Genomic DNA, 13,162 nt, shown 5'->3' on the forward strand with positions numbered 1-13,162 from the left:
CCTTCCCTTCCCTTCCCTCCCTTCACATCACCTCATCTCACCTCACCTTACATAGTCTTGCTCTGTCACCCAAACTGGAGTGCAGTGGCCTGATCTTGGCTCACTGCAACCTCCACCTCTTCCCAGGTTCAAGTGATTCTTATACCTCAGCCTCTTGAGTAGCTGAGACTACAGGTGTGCACTACCACACCCAGCTAATTTTTTGTATTTTTAGTAGAGATAGGGTTTAGCTATGTTGGCCAGGCTGGTCTCGAACTGCTGAACTCAAGCAATCTGCCATCCCCGGCCTCCCAAAGTACTGGGAGTATAGGCATAAGCCACCCATGATGCCCAGCCTGAATCTTGGTTTCTTCCCCATTCATTTAAGCTATTACCTGGGCCTGAACTCAATGGCACCTGGCACCAACTGGCAACTGACTCTTGGTCTTTTATTACCTACCTTCCCTAGCAGGCACTGGGTTGCTCCCTCTTCCTATCCCATGGAGTCCTGTCCTCTGTTGGGGCTCCTACTGATCCTCTTGGCAATATGAAGTTCTCAGCTCAATGGTGGGTGGGCAATGACTGCCAACTCTTGAGGCCAATGAACTCAGGTTACCCCACTCCTCCTCCTCCTGAGTTGCTCACTCACTCCTCATTCACTCAACATTGATTCAGTAGATATTTGCTACCTGCTCTGTGCCAGGTACCAGGTCAGTTGCTGAAGGAGTAACAGTGAACATGACGGAGTCTTTGTCCCCAAGGAGACCCAAGGTGTCTCCTAGAGCCAGGGGCACATTGCAAGACCAAATATATTCAACTTACCAAAATAATCATAGACCTAGTTCTCAAAAAGCAAGAAGACTGATTCCTCGTTGTCATTTCTCCTCCTCAGCATCAATGTTTTAGAGTCTGTGGGCCCCTCCAAGTGTGGAGTATGGTGTTACTTCACCAGAGTTTGAGGAGAAACATTCTTCTTTTGGAAGGCCGGGGAGCATAGATGGATATCAAGGCTGCTGTTTCTAAAAGCGAAACCCACCAAACAACAGTATTAGAATCATCTGTGGTGCTTATTAAAGATACAGATTCCTGGGCCCCATCCCAGACTTATGAATCAGAATCTCTGCCAGAGGAAGCCTGAGAATTTGCATTCTCAGATGATTCTGCATTCTCAGATAACACATTCTTTAGGTGATTCTTACACACACTGGAGTTTGGGAATCGCTGAAGGCTGTTCACTTCTCTTTTCTGAGAAATGATTCATTCATTTCAGAAATATTTGCAGAGGTCCTTATTTATTGGAGATTTGTGGGTGGGCAGAGGAGAAATATCTTGTCCTCACAGAGCTTACAATTTTTATTTTCTTTAGAGGTCACCAGGCTTAAAATGACACTTCCCTAAATTCTGAAAAGAACAGATTTTTAAAACAAGAAGGGACTGTAATGTTTTCTGTTCCTACCTCGTATTTTGTTCACATTAAGAACCTGGGGTGGGAAGTGGAGGAGGGGGGGTGACTGGCGGGGGGCCACAGAGAGCTGAGCTGGGGTGGTCTCGAACTCCTGAACTCAAGCAATCTGCCAGCCTCAGTCTCCCAAAGTGCTGGGATTATAGGCATGAGCCACCCACGATGCCTGGGTGGAACTCAGGGCTCTGGATGCCTGGGCGCCCCCATCTCCCACACTACGGCGCCTCATCCTAGAAGTGGTTAGCACCTTTGAGATGGGAATTATTTAGCAGGATGCTTTTGTGTTTTCATGTAAGTTTTATGCTGCCTGTGGAGGGCACAGCTGTTTCAAAACTAATAACCAAATCCTGGTCTCCGAAGTCTGAAGGCATCCTTTGCCCTGCAGTGCAAAGCACGGGATTCTGGCCTCACACAGGCAGGTCTGAACTCCTGTGTTGCCTCTTGCTGGCTGTGGGACCTGAGGCAAATCATGCAACCTCTCTTTTCTGTTTGCCTAGATGGAAAATAGGTTTACAATACGCCCCCATAGGATGGCTGTGAGAATTAAAGGAAGTCATGGGTGTACAATACCTGGCCCCGAAAGATGCTTAATAATTTAATTCTGACCTTCCTCACTCATTTAGGATTATGTACCAACTTTTAGAAACAATGAAAGATTAGTGAGTCTTCTGTGGTTGGTATAAAAAAAAAATAGAAACATGAAAGAGATGTCCTCCTTGTTCAAGGGCTAATGACCCTGGTGTGCGCTGTCTAGGCCCCCAAGGTCTTCCTTCCCTGCTCACAGCATTTCAGGTTCTCCGCAGCTTTGCTGAGCCTGGGTCAGGTTCGGTATCTGCCCACCATGCTCACTTGCCACAGCTGTGGCCCCATTTCCAAACTTCAGAGACTTAAAGGTGCAGCTAATGATGTGCCCGGCCTGGGGTCACATTCCCTGAGCCCTGCAGACAAGGGAGCAGGAGGCTGAGCTCTTATCTTCCACACCCTGTGCACAGCCTGGGAAGAGTTAAAGCACCCTAGTCCTATGCTGCGAGGGCCACATGCCCTGAGACCTTGGAAAAAATCCTACCTGAATTGAAGAGCATCACTATTTCATCAGGAGGCGCTGCCATTTCATTTTTCACTTCGGTTTTATCTTGAGTGTAAAACAGCTTCGCAAATCACTTTTTCTTGTTTCTGTAATGAGCATATGGTGGCCTCATTCGTGTGATAAATCTGAGCCACCACGATATTTGACTTTTCACAATTTAATTTATCTGAACCCTCTATTCTCTGGCTAAAAAATATCCCTTACTTGGACTTCTTTATTTTATTTTCAATTCCCTTACCAGCACTAGCAGGGGACTCTGTACTCATCTGCTGGCGCTGCCATAACAAAGCACTGCAGCCTGGGGGGCTCAAACCACAGAATTTATTCTCTCACAGTCCTAGAGGCTAGAAGTCCAAGATCAAAGTGTGGGCAGGGTCGGTTTCTCCTGCAGCCTCTCTCCTTGGCTTATAGAGTGCCACCTTCTACCTGTGTCTTCACATCATCACCTCACTGAGCATGTCTGTGTCCAAATCTCCCCTTCTTATAAGACCCCAGTCATACTGGATGAGGATCCACCCATATGAGTTCATTTTACCTTAATTATCTCTTTAAACACCCTGTCTCCAAATACAGTCCCATTCTGAGGAACTGAGAGTAAAGATTCAACATATGAATTTTGGAAGGGACCTAATTCAGCCCACAACACCCTCTTTTGGGATGTTTATTTTCCCCCTTAAGGAGCTAGTTAGGATGTCTTATCTCATGAACATGACTGTGAACAGGAAAACAGGGAGAGAATGAAGCTGGCCAAGGAACAGGGCTGGTGTCAGCTAGCAGTGCTTTTCTGATGTGAGTGGGTCCCACAGGGAGCTTGTTAAAATGCAGATTCTGATTCATTAGGTTCCAGAGGGACCTGAGATTTCCCATTTCTGACAAGTTTCCAGTGTGGGGGCTGATGCTGCTGGTCCACGGACCATACTTTGAGTAGCAAGGAGCTTGATACATAATGGCTGAGTGACTTTCAGACTCCTGCTGTAGAAAAATTATGAGTTGGCTGGGCGTGGTGGCTCACGCCTGTAATCCCAGCACTTTGGGAGGCCGAGGTGGGCAGATCACCTGAGGTCAGGAGTTCGAGACCAGCCTGGCCAACATGGTGAAACACCATCTCTACCAAAAATACAAAAATTAGCCAGGTGTGGTGGCAGGTGCCTGTAATCCCAGCTACTCAGGAGGCTGAGGCAGGAGAATCGCTTGAACCCGGGAGGCAGAGGTTGCAGTGATCTGAGATCGTGCCACTGCACTCCAGCTGGGCAATAGAGCTTGACTCAGTCTCAAAAAAAAAAAAAGAAAAGAAAAAGAAAAATTATGAGTTATATTATCAGCATATGGGGTGCCTTTCAAATTGATAAAATTTCTAATATTAAACCTGTGGATGCCAAATGCTGCTCTCTGATTATGGCAGGAAACGGCACTTGGCAGTACGAAGTTAGCTGTTGGGCTGAGCTGGCTCATCTTGTTGTGCGGTCCTGATTGCCTAAAGATGCCTTCCCAGGATCTTTACTAACAATCCTCCTGAGTCATTTGGACTTTCCCAACCTGTTATCACCTCTCAGATGGGCCAGCCATGGAGGCAGTCAGAGGAGGGCTCTGCAGAGGGAGGGCAGAAACAGGGTGGCCTCTGCATGCCATTAGGAGGTCACATCTCACTGGGGGATGCAGTTTAGGATTTAGTGCCTTGGAGAGAAGGATAGAGTATATTAAAACATGTCTCCGCTAGGCATGGTGGTTTACGCCTATAATCCCAGCACTTTGGGAGGCCGAGGTGAGTGGATTGCCTGAGCTCAGGAGTTCAAGACCAGCCTGGCTAACATGACGAAACCTCATCTCTACTAAAATACAAAAAGTTAGCTGGGAGTGGTGGCGTGCGCCTGTAGTTGCAGCTACTTGGGAGGCTGAGGCATGAGAATCACTTAAGCCCAGAAGACTGAGGTTGCAGTGAGCCGAGATTGCACCACTGCACTCCAGCTTGGGCTACAGAGTGAGACTCTATCTCAAAAACAAAGAAACAAACAACAACAATAACAACAAAAACCAAGTCTCTCCCTCCACTCAAAAATGCAAGGGCCTGTCTCCCATTGCTGGGTGCCCAGGTCTCATGAATGTAGATATGAATTATTCCAGTCAGCCTCAGGAGAATAGAATGAGCCCTCAGATGCCGAAGCACCTTTCAGATTCCACCGGTTTTATCGGCTCATTTAAACTTCACTTCTAACACAGTCCTGCATTACACACGTGTCTGTCGTTATGGGCAGCTGCAGAGAGGGTCTTAATGGTCCTAATGCTCAGTGAGGATGCCCAATGGTCAACAGAACCTGCCATCTTCAGGCCATCAAGGAGCTCTGGAGTTAAGGAAATCATGAGAGCACAGAGGGGCGGGTACAGCAGAGCCCTCGTGGTAATGGGTTTTGAGGTCTAGGCTCTCTTCACTTGGGTTTGAAATAAGTTCAATGACTAGTAATAGCTGAGACACTTCTACCCTTCAAATGAAGTAAATGGGAAAATGGAGCATTGTTGAGTCCAGGGAGCTATAATTTAAACCCCATATATCTAAAAGGGGTAACATTTTTGTGTGTGTGAAATTGGTGTCATTCGCACTGCATCTACAGTTTTCTTTTTCCTTCTCTTCCAGCACCCCTGGCTACATATTTGGGAAACGCATCATACTCTTCCTGTTCCTCATGTCCGTTGCTGGCATATTCAACTATTACCTCATCTTCTTTTTCGGAAGTGACTTTGAAAACTACATAAAGACGATCTCCACCACCATCTCCCCTCTACTTCTCATTCCCTAACTCTCTGCTGAATATGGGGTTGGTGTTCTCATCTAATCAATACCTACAAGTCATCATAATTCAGCTCTTGAGAGCATTCTGCTCTTCTTTAGATGGCTGTAAATCTATTGGCCATCTGGGCTTCACAGCTTGAGTTAACCTTGCTTTTCCGGGAACAAAATGATGTCATGTCAGCTCCGCCCCTTGAACATGACCGTGGCCCCAAATTTGCTATTCCCATGCATTTTGTTTGTTTCTTCACTTATCCTGTTCTCTGAAGATGTTTTGTGACCAGGTTTGTGTTTTCTTAAAATAAAATGCAGAGACATGTTTTAAGCTGATAGTTGAGGGGTTTTGTTAATGGCTTTTGGGGGATTTATCTCTATACCCACAAACGACTAGTTTGTTTTCCTCAAACTAAATGATAATATTAAAAATACACATCCTGGCCAGGTGTGGTGGCTCATACCTGTAATCCCAGCACTTTGGGAGGCCGAGGCAGGTGGATCACTTGAGGTCAGGAATTAAGACCAGCCTGGCCAATATGGTGAAAGCCTGTCTGTACTAAAAATACAAAAATTAGCCAGGTATGCTGGTGGATGCTTATAATCCCAGCTACTTGGGAGGTTGAGGCAGGAGAATTGCTTGAACCCGGGAGGTAGAGGTTGCAGTGAGCCAAGATCATGCCACTGCACTCCAGCTTGGGCAACAGAGTGAGACTCCATCTCAAATTAAAAAAAATACACATCTGGCTTCTGGAAAAATTACTTGAAGATCTTTTATGACATCCATCCCTCTTCACACAGCCATGTGAATTAGGTTGGTATCTTCATATACTAGCATCGTGCCCAGCACTTCCATGTTATACAGTTTAAAATGTTCTGTAATTCCCTGTGGGAACCTAAGATAATGCGAGGACCGTCATACGTGCCCCCAAATATTGGCAAACCAATGAATAAATGAATGAATGAGTTTATGAATCGCTAACTGGCTGTATTTAATGAAGTATGTGTGTTGAGCCATTTCCCACAGTGTGGACAGATTTGTCCCACAATATGGGCCTCTTCCCAAAGGCCCTACCACCTAATGCCATCACACTGGGGATTTGATTTCAACATGTGAATTTGGGGAGAGTGCAAACACTCAGACCATAGCACCATCTCAGTAAATGTCCCACTGGTCACTCAGTTCATAGTGACAGTGATCCAGCCACTGTCATGACAGGTGCCACTTGGCAGAAACAGCACAGCTTGGAAGATGGCGGGGTGTAGTCAAGATTCCAGGATCCCCAACAGAGAAGCCAGCTCTTATAGGGGAGCCATTCATCAGGATTGAACTCTCAATCGAGCTGGACAGTAATAGGTGGGTCTGTGTTATTCCCCAGATGAGTATCATGACAGTCACAATCCTAGGAAGGATGTGAAGCCTCCCCCAGCTCTCCTCCAGTTGCCTGCTTGGGCAGCAGAGATGATGGAATGTGGAGTCTGGCGTGGTCTGAGGCCTGAATCCATGTGCCTCATGTATGATGCTCAGGCAAGAGGATCTCTCAATTCAAGGGAGAGGGCCTGAATGAGCCTTGCTTTCCAGGCCTGTCTGATGGTCCAGGCTGAAGCCCCTCCTGGCTTGCACTGCCAGACCTCATCCAGCAGGAGCTCCTTGGCATTGACTGCTTCAGGATAGTTGCTTCTGCTCTGAGTGCTCTCTAAAGAGCAGTGCTCTACCATCCAAGCTGGGCTTTTCTTTTCTTCTTGCTGATAGGGAAGGCATGGGACATTGCAGGATGGAAGTGGCCCCCAGGCCTTCTCATGCCTGGGCTTGGTTTGGAAGGTGGTCAGGTGATCAATAATCCTGATTGGCCTGGCATTGAGGAGTTTTCCTGGGATGTGGTCCTTTCGGTTTTTTAAAAATTATTTTTATTGATACACATATTTGTAGGTATTTGTGGGGTGCATGTGATACTTTATTATGTGTGTGGATTGTGTAATGATGAAGTCAGGGCATTTAGGGTCTTCATCACCTTGATTATCATTTCTATGTGTTGAGAACATTTCAAGTTCTCAGTTCCAGCTATTTTGAAATAGACAGTCCATTTTGTTAGCTACAGTCACCCAACCCGGCTGTCAGACATTGGAACTTACTCCTATTGAACTGTGTATTTGTACCCATTCACCAAACTCTCTTTGGGCTTTCAGTTTTACAACTGGGATGATCCTGGGAAAACTAAAGTAAATCAGACACCCGACGTGTGAGCTAGGTTATAATATGCCCAGTGGACCCTGGGGACATCTTAGCTTTCAGAGGTCATGCTGTCCAAGCTGACTGTGGGGCTTCCAGAAGGTGGGGAGAGGAAATGATGCAATGGCCCATCAGAGGCACTACTTGGGGCCTGGGGCCAGAGTGCATGTCTAAGGCATTAAGGGGAGGGGAGAGCAGCCTTCATAATTATGAAGAGGAGTCTCAGGTGCACAGCTTCTGATGAGGGACAGCTTCTAATTGAAGACAGCATTGTGTAATGCTCAAACTCCCTGTCTTCAGAGTGCCTGCTGTATCCCACCATCAGTTCTGTGACTTCTCCCTAAGCCTCAATTTTGCATGTGTTACATTGGGATAATAATAGTGCCAAACTCATGGGGTTGTGAGGAATAATGAGGTAAAGCAATTGAAAAGGTTTAGCACAATATAAGTGCTCAATAAAAGCCATTATTATTATTTTATTACACTAGTTTTCAATTCCTGCATAGCAAATTCTTGCAAATGTAGGGACTCAAAACAATATAAATTTATTATCTGACAGTTTTTCTGGGTCAGAGGTCTTACTAGGCTGTAATCAGAGGGCAACCAAAGCTGTGATCTCAGCTGAAGCTCAGGATTCTCTTCCAAGCTCACTGGTTGTTGGCAGAATTCAGTTCTTTCCAGTTGGAAGACTAAAGCCTACAGTCTTCAGTCTCTAGAAGCCTTTTCTCTGGCACAGGTTTCTCTACAACATGGCCATTTATGTCTTTAAGGCCAATAGGAGAACATGATTAGCATATTTTTTTTAAGTGAACTTTAGACCCTTTTTTAAAGGCCTATCTGATTAGGCCAGGCCCAAGTGAGCTTTAAGTCAACTGATTAGAGATCTTAATTACATCTGCAAAGTCCCTTCATGTTTACCGTATAACATAACTTAGTGAAAGGAGTGAAATTGCAACCAGGTTCTGCCTGCACTCCACGGAAGGGGATTCTGCAGAAGTGTGGGTCACGGGGGGGTTATTTTGGGATTCTGCCTACGTCACTGAGTCAAAAGAAGCTGAATGGTTGTGATGCTGAGGTTTTTGGGCAGCAGCAGTGTGTGTGTGTGAGTGAATTCATACGTATGACCACCTGGGAAGAAAGGAGGCTGTGGTTTCCTCCACCTCCTGGCAGACAGAGAAATTTCTTTTTTTTTTTGAGACAGGGTCTGGCTCTGTTACCCAGGCTGGAGTGCAGTGGCTTGATCTCTGCTCACTGGCTCACTGCAGCCTCTGCCTCCCAGGTTCAAGTAATTCTTGTGCCTCAACTCCAAGTAGCTGGGATTACAGACACACACTGCCACGCCTGGCTAATTTTTGTATTTTTAGTAGAGACGAGGTTTTGCCATGTTGGCCAGGCTGGTCTTGAACTCCTGACCTCAAGTGATCCGCCCACCTCAGCCTCCCAAAGTGCTGGGATTACAGACGTGAGCCACCATTAACCATTTTTCTATCTCCTGTGGGAAAGGGCACAGTGAAAGAACAGATGAAGCTGAGACATACAAGTGAACTCCTCCCTCCTCTCCATTTAGACTAAAATAGGATTATTCATACTGAGATTCTCCCTGGTTGCAAAGAGATAATCTGTGCAACTGGGTTTTTACAATTATCCCTACCCTATGCTTTCCTCATCTGTCTTCCTCGTAGTCAGCTCAGGCTGCTATAACAAAACACCATAACTGGGGGCTTTTGAACAACAAAACTTTACTTCTCACAGTTCTAGAGGCTGGAAATCCAAGATCAAGTTTCTGGCAGATTCGGTGTCTAATGAGGTCCTGCTTTCCAGTTTATAGACAGTGCCTTATCGCTACCGCCTTACACAGTGGAAGGAGAGGACGAGAAGCTCCTTGGGCTTTTTTTTGTTTCTTTCTTTCTCTCTCTCTCTCTTTTTTTTTTTTTTAATAAGGTCACTATCTTAGTCCATTTTGTGTTGCTAAAAGGAACATCTGAGGTTGAGTAATTTATTTTATTTTAAAAAGTGGCCAGGCATGGAGGCTTATCCTGTAACCCTAATCCTTTAGGAGGCCAAAACAGCAGGATTGTTTGAGGCCAGGAGTTCAAGACCAGCCTAGGCAAGATAGTGAGACCCCATCTACCCCATCTCTACTAAAATTTTAAAAAATTAGCTGTGTGTTGTAAAGTGTGCTTGTAGTCCCGGCCACTTGAGAGGCTGAGGTGGGTGGAGTTCAAGGCTGCAGTGAGTTATGATTGAGCCACTGCACTCCAACCCGGGTAACGGGGCAAGACCTTGTCTCTATTTAAAAAAAAAAAATCTTTATGTGGCTCACTATTCTGGGTGGCTGGAAAGTTCAAGATTGGGCATCTGCATCTGGTGACAGCCTCATGTCGCTTCCAGTCATGGGGGAAGACGAAGGAGAGCTGGCACGTGCAGATATCACGTGTTGAGGGCAGAAGCGAGAGAGAGAGGGGAGAGATGCCAGGCTCTTTTTAACAACCAGCACTGGGGAAACTAATAGAGTGAGAGCTCACTGACTCCTGAGGGAGGACATTAATCTATTGATGAGCGACCTGCCTCCATGACCCAAACACCTCCAACGATACCCCACCTCCAACACTGCCACACTAGGGATTAACTTTCAACTTGAGATTTAGAGGGGGGAAACTTACAAACTATCGCAGGCACTAATACCACTCATGAGGGCTCCACCTTCATGACCTAATCACTTCCTAAAGGCCTTACCTCTTAATCTCATCACATTGAGGATTCGATTTCAACTTGAATTTTGGGGGGACACCAACATTCAGGCCATAGCATCATCTCAATAACTGTCCCATTGGTGGTCACTCAGGCCCCAAACAAAGGAACCTTCCTCCATTCCTTTCCGCCCTCCCACCCACAGTCAATCATCCCCAAGCTCCATCAGCTCCACCTTTAACGGCCAACCCACCTCTGCCACATCTCACCATCTCCACTGCTATCCCTGTCACCTGGGCCCACCATTCTCTCTCCTGGACAGTCTCCATAGCCACCTCTGTCAGATTTATTTTATTTTTTTATTTTTTTTTTTGAGACAGGTTCCTGCTCTGTTGCCCAGACTGGAGTGCCATGGCATGATCACATCTCACTGCGGCCTCCATCACCTGGGCTCAAGCAATCCTCCCATCTCAGCCTCCCAAGTAGCTGGGACTACTGGCACCACCATACCTGGCTAATTTTTTGTTGTTGTTGTTTAATTTTTAATACAGATGAAGCCTCACTATGTTGCCCAGGCTGCTCTTGAACTCCTGGGCTCAAGTGATCCTCCGGCCTTGGCCTCCCAAAGTGCTGGGATTACAGGCATGAGCCACCGTGCCCAGCCCATCAGATGTTAATGCTACACGCACTTGCTTAAAATCCCCCAGATAATTCTCGCTGCTCTTGGAATAATTCCCACACACCTTGGCGTGGCCATGCAGGCTCTGTGCCATCGGATATGTCCCTGCCCCCTCTCCCAACTCCTCCTTTCGCTTGCTCGTTCACTCAGTTCCAGCCACATTGCCCTGGGAGCTGCTCCCACCATGGGGCTTCCTAATGCACTGGTCTCTCTCATGCAGTGGGGCCTCTCCCTCCTTTTACTCAGTGTCTCCCAGCACCCACCTCCTCCAGAGCCTTCCCTGACCACCACACCTACACCTAGGCCCTTCCTCCTCCACGCTCCCTCCTCCACCCCGGCCTCCTACCCACGTGTCACTTCTTTATACTCGCTGCCACCTGAAATTAGATCATTTATTTACCCCTTTATTTGTTCAGTTTGCCTTGTCCGTTAGAATATAAGCTTCCAAAGGGCAGGAGCTTTGCCTATATTGTTAGGCCGGGCATACAATGAGCACTCAAAAAAATATTTGATGAGTGTATGAAAGAACAGACTGGGTTATGTAATTGTGCCTACTTACCTATATGACCGTGTGGTGGGGTTTATGGTGGGTGTGGTGGTGATGGCTATAGGGCTATAAGCAAATTTGGGACAGGGAGTCTAAGAAATGTTCTTAAATTTTAGTAAGCAAAGCATCCTCTACAGAACCTGTCTTAAAACATGAAAGTTCCTTAGTGCTACCCCCAGAGGTATGATTTGGTAGGTCAAGGATAGGGCCTGGAAATTCACATTCTTGTTAAGATGTTCTTCATCCGGGGTTTGTTGACCACCTTTTCAGAAGATTTTTGCTCTGTAGCTGTACTACCCAATGCAGTAGTTCGTAGTCAGTGTGGCTCCTGAGCCCTTGAAGTGTAGCTCCTCTGAACTGAGACGTGCTGTAAATGTAAATTGCACACCGGAGTTTGAAGAGTTAATACAAAGAAAAAGGAATGCAAAACATCTCATTAATAATGCTTTACACTGATTACATATTGAAATGGTAATCTTGTAGATATAGTGCGTTAAATAAAATATACTGTTAGGCTTAATTTCACGTCTTTATACTTTTAATGTGGCTACTAGAAAAATTTAAATAACATATTCAGCTCACATTATACTCCTATTGAACAGAGCTGATCTATAAGTTCCATGGAAGATGGCAAGTCTTCGCAGCTGAAATAAAGGCTGGATCCCATTCTACGGGCTCATCTTTAGCAATGATTTCTTGCAGACGATATTGAAAAATGTGGCAATGAAAGTTACCACAAGCATCAAACCAGTCCTGCCTAAATCTGGAAAATAGTTATCTGAGGCTGTTAGCATATGATCATGAGAGCGTTTCACCATGGATTTCTGATCACAGATGTGGCACATTATTAAAATATCACTTTTACAGTCACCCTAGAGGCTAGGGTTATCTGAATATGGAGAAAGAAACAGCTTGTGGAGCTGTTGTATAAATGAAATTACTAGAAAGTAATGCACTCAATTGCATATTGGCTCGGGGGGTTATTCTTATTAAAATGTTTAGAGAGGACTTTCTGTTCATTTCTGCAGAATTGCTCTTCAAATTAAGAATTTGCTTGACACGCTAATAGACCACAGTCCCAAGAGAAGTTTATCCTTTTTTCTTCTTATCCTTGCTAAGCACTTAGATGCTCTGCTGATAGGTAGCATATATTGTCTATATGAAGCTTTTGTGTTAACATTGACTAGTCCTGCAAGTTGGCACACTCTTACTTGGCCTAAAAGAAATCAGCACCAGGCTTTAAGAAAATCAGATGATCTACCTAAAGGAACACAACTCTGTCTCTCTTTTGACAATTGTTGTAAACAAATTTTAATGGAAATTTGCCTTAATTGTGAAGAAGTTGCTGCTAAAATGGACTTGCCATTAATGGACTGGAACCCATTGCATAAGCAGAATGAAATATAAGCCTTCTCAGGATTCACACTTATAAAAAACCATTCAGCCAATCAACAAGAGGGCAAAAGAACAAACATTTGATGTGTAATTACTTAATTTAGTGCATATGCATTTGGGTCCTCAATGTCAGCACTATGGCAACCAGAACATGGCCACAATAACTGTCTGGAAATGTCTATTCTTACCTGGACCCAGCAGGCCATGCCCCACTGATTATATAATCTCCCTCTCTCCTTGTTACGGTCTGAATGCTTGCATCCCTCAAAAATTCATGTGTTGAAATCCTAACCCCCAAGGTGATGATATTAGGAGG

At 45.5% G+C, this 13,162-nt stretch overlaps 1 protein-coding gene across 3 annotated transcripts in view; it reads left to right on the forward strand.

Annotated features, from left to right (window-relative positions):
- The window catches only part of ALOX5AP (arachidonate 5-lipoxygenase activating protein), a 50,942-nt gene extending 45,302 nt beyond the window's left edge, over positions 1–5,640 (forward strand). For all 3 annotated transcript variants that reach the window (NM_001204406.2, NM_001629.4, XM_017020522.3), the window contains one exon: positions 5,158–5,640. In NM_001204406.2, coding sequence (NP_001191335.1) covers positions 5,158–5,320 — 163 coding nt within the window. In that variant the 3' untranslated portion in view covers positions 5,321–5,640. The remainder of the gene's footprint in view (positions 1–5,157) is intronic.

This window comes from Homo sapiens, chromosome 13, assembly GCF_000001405.40.
Source record: "Homo sapiens chromosome 13, GRCh38.p14 Primary Assembly".
In the NCBI taxonomy this organism is placed as follows: Eukaryota; Metazoa; Chordata; class Mammalia; order Primates; family Hominidae; genus Homo; species Homo sapiens.